Source organism: Homo sapiens, chromosome 8, assembly GCF_000001405.40.
Source record: "Homo sapiens chromosome 8, GRCh38.p14 Primary Assembly".
In the NCBI taxonomy this organism is placed as follows: Eukaryota; Metazoa; Chordata; class Mammalia; order Primates; family Hominidae; genus Homo; species Homo sapiens.
The window spans coordinates 22,736,225-22,749,785 of NC_000008.11; the positions used below are offsets into that span (position 1 = coordinate 22,736,225).

The 13,561-nt window shown below is 54.8% G+C and overlaps 1 protein-coding gene and 1 long non-coding RNA gene across 4 annotated transcripts in view, besides 3 other annotated features; one reads left to right on the forward strand and one right to left on the reverse strand.

Moving 5' to 3' along the window:
• Nucleotides 1–13,561, reverse strand: part of PEBP4 (phosphatidylethanolamine binding protein 4) — a 227,827-nt gene that overhangs the window by 22,974 nt on the left and 191,292 nt on the right. The gene's annotated exons all lie outside the window — the stretch shown is intronic.
• Nucleotides 3,143–13,554, forward strand: LOC124901908 (uncharacterized). 2 transcript variants are annotated; one of them, XR_007060855.1, is made up of 3 exons: nucleotides 3,143–3,523; nucleotides 8,370–8,517; nucleotides 11,302–13,554. It is a non-coding gene; the product is annotated as an uncharacterized LOC124901908 (long non-coding RNA). The 2 variants fall into 2 exon arrangements; XR_007060856.1 differs by lacking the exon at nucleotides 11,302–13,554 and adding an exon at nucleotides 9,346–10,336.
• Nucleotides 7,660–7,719: a silencer, noted in NCBI's record as "silent region_19013". NCBI's record gives its function as "represses an Ori minimal core promoter by ATAC-STARR-seq in GM12878 lymphoblastoid cells {active_cell/tissue: GM12878}" and the evidence as "EXISTENCE:reporter gene assay evidence [ECO:0000049][PMID:35858748]".
• Nucleotides 7,770–8,969: an enhancer, noted in NCBI's record as "MED14-independent group 3 enhancer chr8:22601507-22602706 (GRCh37/hg19 assembly coordinates)". NCBI's record gives its function as "activates an origin of replication core promoter dependent on BRD2, BRD4, P300/CBP and CDK7 cofactors, and independent of MED14, by STARR-seq in HCT116 cells {active_cell/tissue: HCT116}" and the evidence as "EXISTENCE:reporter gene assay evidence [ECO:0000049][PMID:35650434]".
• Nucleotides 8,008–8,815: an enhancer, noted in NCBI's record as "H3K4me1 hESC enhancer chr8:22601745-22602552 (GRCh37/hg19 assembly coordinates)". NCBI's record gives its function as "activates a minimal SCP1, AML or CMV promoter by ChIP-STARR-seq in naive H9 embryonic stem cells {active_cell/tissue: H9 hESC(naive)}" and the evidence as "EXISTENCE:reporter gene assay evidence [ECO:0000049][PMID:30033119]".

Below are 13,561 nucleotides of genomic sequence, written 5' to 3' on the forward strand. Positions count from 1 at the left end.
TCTGGATGGGGTTCCGGGGTGGGGTTAAGAAGAAGGAAAGAAATAAAGAACACAATATATAGTCTTATTAAACCTGTTCTTCTTAGAAGTAGACAAGAGTGGGGGTGCGTTGTCTCATGCCTGTAATCCCAGCAGTTTGGGAGGCTGAGGCAGGAGGATTGCTTAGGGCCAGGAGTTGCAGAGCAGCCTGGCCAGCATAGTGAGACCCCATTTCTACAAAATATTAAAAAAATTAACCAGACGAGGTGGTGTGTTCCTGTAGTCCTGGCTACTAGGGAGGCTGAAGTGGGAGGATTGCTTCAGCTGGGAATTCGAGGCTGTAGTGAGCTATATTGTTGCACCACTGCATTCCAGCTTGGGTGACAGAGTGACTCGGTCTCAAAAATAAAAAAAGTAGGCAGAAATATTAAGTTGAAAGCAAATATCAGGAGTTTGTTGCTAAATGTGATTACTATGCACTGATATCACTTTAAACTAAAGACTGCCCTTTCTAGCTACTCAGAACAAAAATAGCTTTTGATATCAACCTCAGGTTGCCGGGACGCCTCATTTATCTGAAGTCATATAGGGAATTGGGTATTCCTTATAAAAACATTTCCCTGATATCTCAAATCTTATATTTTTAGCTCCCCAACTCCTTTTCTCTTACCTATTTTGGATAGCCATCTTATTAGAATACTAGTTCTTGTCTTCTTATGTGATTTTAAATACCATTGTAGTTGTCATTGTGGATGCCAGTTTTGCACCCAACTACAGCATGAGACCGCAAAGCTGAAAAGCAAATAAAGGCCGGGCATGGTGGCTCACGCCTGTAATTGCAGCACTTTGGGAGGCCGAGGCGGGCGGATCACTTGAGGTCAGGAGTTCGAGACCAGCCTGGCCAACTTGGCAAAACCCGGTCTCTATTAAAAATACAAAAATTAGCAAGGCGTGGTGGCAGGCGCCTGTAGTCCCAGTTACTCGGGAGGCTGAGGCAGGAGAATCGCTTGAACCCGGAAGCCAGAGGTTGCAGTGAGATCAGATTGAGCCACTGCACTCCAGCGTGGGCAATAGAGTTGAGACTCCGTCTCAAAAAAAAAAAAAAAAAAAAAGCAAATAAAAAGAATGAGCCATTCAGGCTTCCACCTGCCCCAGCCTCCTTAGAGGCCAATAATTGAATGTTTATGTCGTGGCCATCAGGCAAAGAAGGGGGACCCACCTCTTGCGGAGTGCCCGTGGTGCGCAGGCATCTCGCCATGGTCTTTACGTGAGTTAGTTCACTCAGATCCCCGCCCTCCAGGAAATTCCCCGCTAAGGTGCAGGATCCCCCCACTCCCCCCGCCTTGGAGAGCAAAGGCTTGCTGCCCTGCTTTGTGGTCTGATTTCTGGCAGCCACAAGAACAAGGGAAATGGAGCCGTCCAGTTAAAGCAGCCTCAGTCAATGAGCAACTTAGCATCTAACACAGCCATTCTCCTGCAGGGCAGCCTGGGCTTCAGTCCAATGTCATTACCAATCAGCTACATGACTTTGAGCAAGACACTTAATTTCACAGCGTCTGAGTTTCCGTACCTATAAAGTGGCGATGATAACGATACCTGCCCTGGTTTCTTCACAGAGCTGTTGTGAAGGTGCAATTAGGAAATGGAATATTCTGAAGTCCCGCAGCGCCGTCCAAGTGTAAGGGTCATTACTAGGCTGAGCTCCCGGCGGGACCCTGGAGGGAAAGGCTCGGTGGTTGCCGGGGAGTAGACGGCGTAGGGGCTGAGGATGGGGATGCTGCCTCCGTCCACCCTTGGAGCCCCGGGAGCCCATCCTGCGAAGTCTCCTGGCAGGGCCAGCCTCCTGAGGCTGATGGCTGCGCCGTGGGCTTGGAGGTTACTCAGCTGTGAATGTTGGGCCTGCCCCGCTGGGCCTATACTCAGCCAGGGTGCGCAGAGCGAGTGGCACATCATGTTTATTAATAACCCTTGATGAGGGGCATTAATAGCTCCTAATGACACCATCTGAGCCTGGCCTCCTTCCTTCTCTCGCTGCTCACTCCTTCCTCTTTCCCTCCATCCCTTGAAGACACATGATCCCACAGACAGACACAGGCGGGCTCGGCTCAGGAGAGCGAGTCAGAGGTGTTGTCCAGGAGGTGGGGGCTCTGGAGCGGGGGTCTGGCCTTGGGGGTCAGACAGAGGATCCTGGGTTGGAGAGCAAGTAGGATGCCTCTGGCTCTGCCATCAAGTGGAAACTTGGCCAGAAACTGCTCGGTGATGGGAGCAAGGGAAGCGCAGCAGTGGGAAGAATTTTCCAGAACTGGTGGGAATGGGAGTGGCAGGGTGTGAGATGGGAGAAGCTGGAGCTGGGACCAGAATGAGGCCAAGGGGGCCTAGGGGCAACCTCAGGCTGGGTCCGAGAGGGCCAGGGATGGGAGAGCACAAGTCACACACACACACTTGCACACTCGTGATATACTCACAAGGCACATGCTCACATCCACACTCTCACATATACATACGTTCACACACTCACATACTTGTAGTATGCTCACACACCCACACATGCATGTTCACACATGCTCACTCACACACATGCTGTCACACATGCACAGAGGCACAAGCTCACATACATGCTCATATATCCACATGCACAGACACTCACATGCACACACATGCTCACACACACTCACATGTACTCACGCACTCCTCTCCTAGACTGCCTTTCACTGGGTATGCCTGGGGCTGGGCATGGTGGGGAGGACCAGAAGAAGGGGGCATTTGGGAAGGGGTTGGTGGCCAGGCTGAAGCTGGGACCATGCAATTAGGAAAAGAGGGTGTGGGAATCTCCAGGCCCCTGGCAGGGGGCCAGGACAAACAGACAACTGATTAGCACTGAGGTCTGTGAGTGAGACCTAAGCTGCTCTGTTACCCACCCAGGGGGCTGAGAGCCAATGGGGCTGGGCTGTATCCGAGCAGAGGTGGGAGAGGAGGCAGTCGACCAAGAGGCAGGGTGGGATGGGGTGGGGGGCACCCCAGGTGCTGCCCTCCTCCCGTGCTGCATGTAGGAGGCTGCAGGTCACCTTGCCCTCCCTGCCGCAGCAGAACAATTAGGAAATGGATGCAGTTAATCCCTAAGACAAACAGGGCTTGAGAAACTGCAACTCAACTGGAGAGAAGAGAGCTGTAGGGCTAACTCCTCAGCCCGACTCTTATCGCTCCCCATCTCTCATCCGGCACCCAGTCTTTCCGGCTGGGTGGCTGCACCTCCAAGAGGGAGAGGAGGAGGAAGCGAGGGGACCAATACACTGGGAGGAAGTGACCTGACCAGACCTTTGCTCTCTAACTCCGGCTGGACAGAGGCAGCCCAGCAGCCCCCTAGCATCCATCTGGCTTGGGGAGTGGTGCCCCAGGGCTTATGAGTGAGCTGGAACCCCATGTCCTGGAATCCCGAGTGGCTGTGACTGCTGACTGATGCCCCCCTCCCCACAGTTCTGGAGAGTGGCTCAGCAGTCTCCCCGAGCTCCGGCCCTAGCAGTCCTCCCGTCTCCCCTCTGTCTGGGTAAGAATGGCCCCTCAGCCCCTGACCCTGACCCATCCTGTTCTCTACTGCCAACGAGAAGATGGGTACTGTCTTGGCTTACTCTGCTCTCCTCATGTGCCACCTATGAGATGAGGTGTCCTTGGGAACCCAGGCCACAAAGGCTGGGCTGGGGGGATGGAGGGGGAGGGGGTGCCCAACAGCCAAGAGCCTCGACTGTGGCTCTTTGGGGAAGGCTGGTAGCAGCAGGTGGGAGTCAGATTCCTCGTTCTGTTCTCTGCTTTGTCTCCCTCCTTTGCCCTATTTTAGGTTTCCATACTTGGCTCTGGTGGGAAGAGAAAGCATAATCTACCCTTTGGAGCCTCTTCTCTCCCTCCCCACCAATGGGCCCAGGCCTGGGGCTGCTTTGTGAACAGAAAGGAAGAAAGGAAGGAAGGATGGATGGAAGGAAAAAGAGACAGAGGGACTCTGGAAGAAAGGTCAGGAATTTCTAGCAAGAAAAGATGCTGGCGAGATTTGGAAGCTCTAAGAAACCCTGTGCTCATTAGAAAGTGTGACAAGAAGCAGAAACATTCTAAGTCTATTCAAATCACGGCTTGCTCTTTTCCGAGGGACTGATGGTGAACTTGGACCCAGTCCCCCAGCCCCTCAGAGCAGCAGCAGTGTGCCCTGGGAGCTTATCAGAAATGCAGAATCTCTCTCAGGCTCAACCCTAGACCCAGTGAACCAGAAGCTTCCTCTTAACAAGAACCTGAGGCGACTTCTACGCACACTAAAGTCTGTGAAGCCCCTCAGCACCACCACAGCAGCTTCCTGCTCTCCGAACCTTCCTGCCCAATTCCCCTGGGGTCTCTGGGCCAGGGAAGGGGACCACTCATCAGATCTGTAGTGGCAGCTGTGGTGGGAACCATCTGAGCCCCGGTTCCTGATGGTACCTCCTTTCCTGTTCCTTCTGGAGACCCCCTCCCCTGGGGCTCACCCTTCCCCCTGTGGCCCCAGCTCTCAAGTCAGACCCTTCAGACAGGTTGGGTTCCTGGGTGTTCAGAGGGGCTGGGCCAGACCTGAGAAGGAGGGAGGCACAGCCCTTTCCCTTCACCCCTGCTTAGAGCCATGGAAAGTGGCCCCAAGTTAGTGACTCTGGGTGTGCTATTCTGAGCCTTGAAGTTCCTGGGGAGAAGGGAAAGGGCTGGGCACACAAGGGTGTTTGTTAGCTCCTTTCCCCCAGATCATGCTCCCCCCACCTACCCTACGTGAGGAGGGAGGGTTGCTTGTCCTCCAGGCATGCAGGGACCTCAGGGACTGGGAAGAGACAGATGGGATGGAAGAGGCGAGAGAAGAGTGGTTCTTCCGTGTTGCCTATAGACCAGATGAGGGTGCGGGGCAGCCCCGGTGTGCAGGTCAGGATCAACTCTAGGGCCCTGTCCCAAGCAGGAGGCCAGCAGTCAGGCAACTTCCTCGGGTCTCCCTCCTCCGAGGTGCCCAAGCCAGCTGCCATCTCTGCTGAGCTGCCGTTCTCACGTGCCTTGGTCATGCCAAGGCCTGTGTGGTGGGCCTTCGTGTCCCTGCCTGCCTTCGTCAACCCAGATTCATTTGTCTGAGCCAACGGAAGAGTGAATGTGGCCCACCAGGGCCTGCTGGGGTCCAAGGCCCTGCCACTGTCTGCCAGGCCCAGGGCTTGTTCTCATTCTGTTGTGGCACTTTTTACAGTGCTCAGCAGGCAAATGCCAATCCGGGAAGTTTGACAATCATAGCAAAAAAACCCTGAGCCTGTGCTCAGTGAACTCCACCTGGAGCTCACAGTTGGTCCCATGTCCCGGGAATGCTTTGGGTACTGACAGAGCCCCAGGGAGAGGAAGGGAGGCCCACTGCTCTCTCAGGCAAGTGACCCAGCGGAACCTGGGTCACTGTGCCACCCCATCAGTGGGTGGCTGTCTGTTAAGGGCCGCTCAGCTGAGCCCCACAGGTGGTGGGAAGGTTTGTGTGCAGAGGAGGAACCCTGACTGTCTTGGAAGCCAGCGCCACCGTCCCCCCGGCAGGCAGGAGAGCGGGGTTGGGGGCAGCCCATACTGCTTGGCTTCCAGTCCCCATGGGGAACATCGCCTGTTTCAGAGTATGTTGAAATGAGTCTTTGCACAACCATGACAAGGGCCCAGCTGTTCCTGGTGACAGTGCGCAGGGACACGAGGAGATGGGAGGAAAGGGGACAGGGTCACAGCAGAGGGAGGGACCCAAAGAGGATCAAGGGACAGCTGCTGGCTCCCCAGGCCTCCCTATCTGGGGCTCCCCTGCCTCCTTCCAATCAAAGCCCACCGTGCTCTAGGTCCAGGGCAGGGCCTCACCCTCGAAGCTAGGCCTTCAGAGGCCTTCCTCTGAGGAGTCTGGGATTCTAGGACACCAGGCCCACCCCTAGGCTGTGCCATGGGAAGCTAAGAGAAACTTCTCCCTAGAACTTTTTGCTGTGAGCAGTTAATTGCCCTGGCATCTGAGGCTGCTGTGCACACAAGCAAGGGGCCTTTAATGAATGCAAACGACAGCTGATTAATCTGCCAGCTCTTGCGCCCCTGGTCCTTGCTGTGGGGTCTGGCTACGCTCCATTCAGCCTCGATGGCCTGCACCAGCGGGGTGGGCTCCAACCTATTACCAGTGGCGCTGCCAGCCCTAATGGGAAAGAGGGTGAGACCCCTCCCCTCCTCTGCCCCCATCGGCCTGTGGTCCTGTCAAGCATGAGAGGCTCTTGGGACTGGCCCTGGAAGTGTGGGCTTGCCCCTGCTGGACTTTGTCACTGGGTGTTTCCTATAGTGATGTGGTCACCCCTCTGGGGACAGAAGGGGGATGATGACAAGGGGAGTGCTGTCTAGCTGCTCAGTGGGATTCATGTGAAGGGATTAAATTTAGGAGGTAAGGGGGTGCTGCCTAGACAGTGGCAGAGGATTTATTTTTCAGTCACTCGCCAACTGTGGCCTTGAGAAAGCAGCCAGGCCACCTGATCATCGCCTTGTGGAAAAAGGCAGAGAGAGAGAGGAGTTGAGGCTACGAGAGAGTCCCCTTTTTCCACCCCGGTTCATACATCCTACCCTAGATCCTGGCTGATGTCAACTCAGCCCACCTCTATGGAGCTCCTGCTAGGTGCCAAGTGCGGTGTCCCTGTATGGGGCGGCTTGCAGTCTGGCAGGACACAAGAGTCAAGAGATCATTACAGCTGTGATGAACGCTAGGAAGAGGAAGCGCAGAGAGCCTTGGGGGAACAGGGAGGGCTTTCTGGAGGAGGCTGCATAGACTCTCTGCCAGCTACTGGTGCTTGGTTGGGGCAGGCGGTGAAGGGCTGTGTGCTGGGGAGCCAATGCTCTCTTATGCCAGACTCCAGTGCCCAGGCCTCTTATGCCAGCCTCCTGTCCCCAAGAAGCCCCAGGCCCTTATCAGTGCTTCCTTGGGCTACCTGACCTCCCCTTGGGCTGCCCAGCTGCTGGGGCTGGGGAGTGAGCAAGGGCAGTGAGAGTGAGGCCTGCCTGAGAGTGGAGGCTACTGACCTCCTGGGCAGGACCTCCTTCCCAGAAGCAGAAGCAGAGCTCCCTTTGGGGGAGAAACCCCCTCAGTTTCTACTGTAATAAAGAAGGGGCCTGAGCTCTTGCTGGAGCCTCTAATGACGGGGTTGAGGTGTAATGAATATCTGTGTACTCATAAAACAGGCTAATGACGGCCCTCGGCCCTCATTTTATGGACCCGTTTCATCCTTACTTGTTCCCAAACCAGAAGGGACCATCCTGGGGGCTGAGCCAGGAGCCTGATGGCAGCCCCAGACCACAGCTGTTTGGAGTGGGGGCTAAATGGTTCCTGAGCCTGAAGCCCCTCCGGAGCTGCCTTTTCCTCCTCCATCCCTTATCTGGTTGAGACAAAGTGAGGAATTTAGGTCAATGGCTGACAACAACCAGCCTTAGGAAATGGGCAGGGGACAGGGAGGGAGGAAGTGCATCCACCCTGATTCTTAAGAGTGTCAACACTTGTCACACATGGAGGCCAGAAAGAGCATTCAGCACCTGCCGGCAGCACCACGCCCCTTTCCTCTGCCCAGGTACTGATAGGAGCTCCCTGAATCATCCCAGTTGCAATTCCAACACCTGAGCAGAACTAGACTCCGTGGAGGGTGGGGCTGGCCCGCTGAATCACCAGTAACACCTGTGTTTTGCTTGTGAGGTCTCCCTGCTCACTCGGGGACCAGCCAAGCCTGACCCTGTTTGGCTTCTCGGAGCTTGGTGAGATCACAGCCTGGGGGTTGTGGCTGCAGGCCAGTGTGACCTGCTGTGCAGGGAGTATTTTTAAAGAGATACTTGCCCTGTGTTCCCAGGATCAGCTCCCTGAGAGACTCAAGTTGTTCTTTGAATTCTGCCTCCCTCTCCCAATTTGATTGTAGACATTGGTCAGGGGAACATAAAATCACTTGGGATAAAGTGTGTAGTGGAAATTAACATGCAATCTTCTTGCCATAGACAAGCCCCTGGGGGATGCCCAGGGAGTCTTGGTGACTGGTAGCACCTGAGGGAGGTGGGATGAGCAGAATCAGACTCCCTAATTCCCTTGAGGATGCAGAGATAGACTCACCTGTTTTCTCCTGAGTTCTAGAACTGCCTAACTGTGGTCTTCCGGTCAGAGCCTGGACAGGAGCCACAGGCCACCATGACAGGGTCTGCCGGTGGAAAAAGACTCATGTATGAGTCAGCCTGCTGCCTCGGTTCCCAGCCAGATGCGGGCCCAGCCCTGCCTCCAGGCCATCTGCCGAAAATTGGGGTCAGTGGAGGGCAGAGGAGCCCACGCATGCAGGTTCCTCGTGCCCCTAACCAAGCTCCCCTTTTCATGTCCTCTCTTCTTGCAGACATCGCCTTCTTACAATGCAGAACAGACGATGCACTGTCTCAGGTCACGCTTAGCCTCCTACGGGGGCACGACAGAAGAAGAGGAACATTTAGAGAGGCACAGCTCCTACATCCTTGGATGGGGAGAGTGGGGAGCAAACAGGCCAGGTGAGTCACTTGGGGGTTGGGCCATGGTTGTTAGACAGTGACAGCAGTCCTGGACCCGTATCCAGCACTCTCCACTCTAGGGGTTTCAGGCCCTTGTGCACTGCTGTATCACTTAATCCTCCTTCACCAGGAGGCAGAGAGGGTAGCGTTTGCAGATGGGGACACAAGCTCTGGAGAGGTTAATGACTTGCCGGAGATGGGAGTTCCAATCGGCAGCAGATCAGCAAATGGAATGCGGGTGTCCTGGCCCGTGATCTAAGTCTCCTGATTCATAGTCTAATGTTCTTTTGTCTACACCTCAGAACAAAGAGGGGCTGTGTTCAGAAAATTGATTCTGAAGGGAAGGGAATATTTTTTTCCCTTTGCTGGAATTTCTCTGGAGACTTCGGACTTGCTCAAGTTGGATGGAAAAGCCCGTCTAGATCTTCCCAGCTCTCTCCTGGGTTATGCCCGGGCCTGGGGGCAGAAAGCTTTTGAGACAGGGACAGGCCACATTCTCCAGTGCCCTCTCGACTTAGGGGACCCTGTGCACTGTGGTGGGGAGGTGTCACTGAGAGTGGTGTGATGAGTCACCATGTCCCCAGCCTTGGGTCCCGCAGAGGATTGGGGGAGTGAGCCCTGCAGGGATGTGGGGTAGCCCTGGTGATTCAGGGCAGGGGCAGAGGCTGGGGCCCCATGGCTAAAAGTTTCACGGATCCCAGGCTGAGACCTCCAGAGCCCCTGTCTAGCTCAACTGAGAAGAGTTGATGAAGTTCCTTGTGAGCTTGGCTCATGGATGATCTCAGTCTCAAGTGTACTACTCTGATTCTCTTTATCTTTCCAATCCAGTTCACACTTCTTTCCTCTGTGAAGCCTTCCTTCTCCCAGCATTCCCTCCCCTCACCCTACTGTGTTGTGGCCACCACTCTGCCTGGGACTACAGCCATTTGTCCTTCTGCCTCTCCTCTGCCTGAGAGCAAGGTGAGAGGATCCCGTTCCTGTTCTCCATCTCCTGCCCGTAACACAGGAGGAAGACACACAGGATGTATTTGGGGAACAAGGGGAGGAACTCACATCCCGAGAGCCTGCCTTACCCATGAGCTCTCCCTCTGCCACAACAGCCCGCGAGGCAGGAAACTGAGGCTCAGGGAGGCAGCGCCTTGTCTAAGTCATTAGGCGGCAGAACTGGAATTTAACTCAAGTATTTCTGACTTCATAGGCGAAGCTCTTTGCCAAGGTCAATGATGCTGCTCCAATGTTTGCTTAGAAAAATATGGGAGAAAGTGACAAATGGACTGCTCATGTGTCTGTGGAATTGAACCAAAGCATTGTCCCCTGGTCTGAAAAATGCACCCATCTCGTGGCAGGAGAAGCCTTTTCATATTACTATATTCAACTTCCTTCCTTTTTTTTTCCCCTGCAAGAGACATTTTTGCTGAAGTACATGTGAAAAGGACCACAGGGTCCTCCCTGTTAGATCTGCCCCAGGCCCAGTGGAACAGAGCAAGGAATGTCTCTCTGTGAATCCAGGTGCTGAGGTGTGGAGGCCCCTCTGGGGTTAGAGAGAGCTCTGGGTACAAGGGCTGATCAATTTGGAAGCAGATTGGGCACTTTGGGTCTGGAAAGCCACCAGGTGTTGTCTCTTTGGCCCCTGGCTGGTTGCGGTGTCTGTGATTCTGGGCTCTGGTCCTTCTGGACTAGGATGGAGGGTGCGGTGGGGAGAGTGTTAGTCTCCTCGCGTTTGGTCAGATCTCAGCCAGAGAAGAAAGCCAGAGCTGTGTCCTCTCTCCTTCCCTTCACTGCCTTCCCCTTCTCTCCGATTCCAGCCTCTTCCTCCCTGTCCTCTCTCCTCTCTCCCGCCTCTCCCCCTCCCCTCCTTTGTTCCGCCCTCTCCTCCTCTTCTCCCTCCTCTCTCTCCTCCTCTCCTCCCTCCTCTCTTCCCTCTTTCCTTCACAGAGGACCTCAGCCTTCCATCAGAGAACAGATTTCTTCTGACCATTCGATCCCCAATCTGCCTCCCTCCAGATCGGTGCTGTCCAGTGCGACATTCTGTGATGGTGGAGTTGTCCTCTCTTTGTGTTGTACTATAGAGTAGCTGCCAGCTGCCTGTGGTCATCAAAGTTCGGAGGAATGGAGTTGTAAAAAGAATTATTTGACTCTCGTTCTGTCACCCAGGCTAGAGTGCAGTGGCGTAATTACGGCTCAAGTGATCTTCCCATGTCAGCCTCCCAAGCAGCTGGGACTATGGGCATGTACCACCACACCCAGCTAATTTTTATAATTTTAAAATTTTTTTAGAGACGGGGGTCTCAGCACATTGCCCAGGCTGGTCTTTAACTCCTAGGTGATCCTCCTGCCCTGGCCTCCCAAAGTGCTGGGATTATAGGCATGAGCTACCATACCTGGAATTATTTATTAATTTTGTACTTATTATGGGCTACCACAAGTGAAATTATTTAATTTGAATTAATTTAAATTGAAATAGCCACATGCACTTAGTGACTACCATAGTGGACATCAGAGCTGTGGGTGATAATAAGTGCTGGATTCCTGGGAAGTCCCTGGGGGTGCCCCCACCCTTGTTCAGGCTCTGTCCCTTCCTCAAGTGCCACTGTGTAGATCCAGGGTCTCTGCTGTGCCCAGCCTCCTGTACAGCACCCGAGAGAGGCCACAGACGACTGGGTTCTGGACTTGAACCTGGGTGACCTTGGGCAAGTCACCAGATCTGTGGGTCTCTGTGGCCTCTTCAGTAAAATAATGAAGATGATTTATTGCAAGCCTCAAGGTTTGTGTTTCTTTGGGCAGGAGCCTACTGTGATCAGAGCTGGGGGAGCCAGTGTGAGCAGCAGGGTGAGTGGGGTGTGCATGGGTGTGCACGCTCAGGGGGGTGGGGGGCTTGAGGGGTGGCAGGGGGACCCTACGGGATGTTGCTTTTCAGCCTGGCGCTGCCTCGCTGAGTAGCCTGAGACTAGGAAAAGGCTTAAAGAATTCACAGTGGGAAGGCTGCAGCCTGACTCTGCTCCTGGCCGGCGTTTGCCCGCTGCCTGGCCCTGGCTGTTCCAACGATGGACTTCCTTCCTCTTTGGCCATAAAAGTCTCCCGGAAAGCCTTCCCACAGAGGCCCCGGGGGCTTTCTCAGGGAATGTGTGAGTGTGTGCTCACACAAGCACTGTGGAGCAGGAGCCCAGGGCCGCGTGCAGGCTCTCCCACAGAGCTGTGGGTCCTGGCGCTGGAGGAGAGGTTCGTCCCAGCCTGGGTGGAGAGCGGAGGAAAGGCTGGCCCTTGCCTGGACTTGGGCCCTGGCTTATGCAATGCTCAGACTCTTAGTCAACTTCAGCAACTGGGGCACATCCACACGCATGTGCACACACGTGCAGGCACACACCCGGGCAGGGAGGTGTGAGGAAGGGAGACCAATGAGCCTGTGCCAAGCTCTGCTTACAGATCTCCCCAGATCTGGAGAGAAAAGGGGAGCCCTTCTCCAAGAGGGGGCTGCGCTCAGGCTGCTAGGGTATGATGATGGCTCCAAGCCTGTGGCTGAGGTTGGATGGACCATTGAGAGGAGCCCTCCAGGGTGAGGGGACAGAAGCCCATCAGTCCGTATTGATGGAATGTGGCTACAGTGTGGAGAGAAGAAGATACTTTCTCTTCCTGCCCCAGAAGGTACCCAAGCCTCCGGGATGCTGGGTCACAGAACCCGCCTGGCAGAGAGTTGCATCAGAGCGAAACTGCATGCTAGATGCCTGAGGGGAGAGGGCACTGAGGACTTGTGATCCTAATTTCCCAACCTTCAGCTGCTCAGGGTCAAGTCCTTAGGCTCCACTTGCTCTTCTCCCCTCCCCAGCATTCTTCTGTACTAGGTTGCACATGATGAGGGTGGTCTGAGGGGAGAACAAGGAGGGGGTGTGACTCAGAGTTCACCCGGCTGTCAGCAGCCCTGAGTCAGAGGGAGGGTGGGGAGGTGGGTGGAACAGCTTTTGGTAGTCTTGGGGTTCCCTATAAGCAAGAGCATCCCAGAAAAATAGAAGAGAGCCCCCCAGAAGCTACGAGGCTCCCACATGCAGGGTAGGCCTTTTCTCGGCCACCACTACACACCCCAGGAGAACAGGAGAGGCCTCCACGAGTCCTGGATGATTTAGGTGCGGACTTGCCTGGGGGAAGGGTGTTGGCCCAGAGGACCCCTTGGGTACCTCTGAACTCTGGGATTCTGCAGAGAGGCCTCACCACATCAATGCTTTTTGCTCTGTGTACCCAGATGGGTCTGTGGAGAATTTGGGGGGTTCCACTGCTGGGACTGGGGAGATGACAATCTGGGGTCAGGGGACTGAGGTGGGTGTGGGATGTGGGAACAGGAGGGGTGTCCCATAGCACCAGTGGAGCTTCTGCATCTGCTTCAGGGCTCTTGTTTTCCTGGAAGTAGGAAGGAGAGTGGGGATGGCTGGAAAGTTCTGAAAATTGCTTTTTGCTTATGTATGGTCTTGGCAAAGAAGCTGTGGGGTGTGTTCCTTCTTTATCATAGCTGGCAGCCCTGACTTCCCATAATACAATGATTGGGAGGCTGAGGCCTGGTTACTTGGTGCTTCCTCCACGTGTCTCTGTAGACCTCTCTGCAGCTCTTCTTGTTTTAGCTCCGTAGGCAAGACATCCCATTGATGTAATGTCAGCCTAGGAGCACAACTGTCTTCCCGGGCTCACGGCCTCCACCTACCCAGCTAGAGCTGGAGAGCCATGCCCTCCCCAGGCCCTGCATCTCCTCCCTCCCTGGTCAGGGGTGTCACCAGCAAGGGCACGGCCACCAAACACAGCCTGTGGATCAGCTCTCTGAGATGGCCCTCGTTTGCTCACTGTCTGAACAGAGCATTTCCTTTCCTTCCCTTCCTGTGAGCAGATTCCCCATCCAGGTGGGTAGCTGCGGCCAGCTATGCAGGCACCAATGAGCTGCAAGGGAGGTCAGCCACCCTTTAGCCAGGTCCACCCCCTGCCTTTTACAGAGGAGCAAATTCAGGGCCACGGCATCCATAGGACCAGTCACGGGCAGCAGTGTGGATCTACAACCCACCTCTCC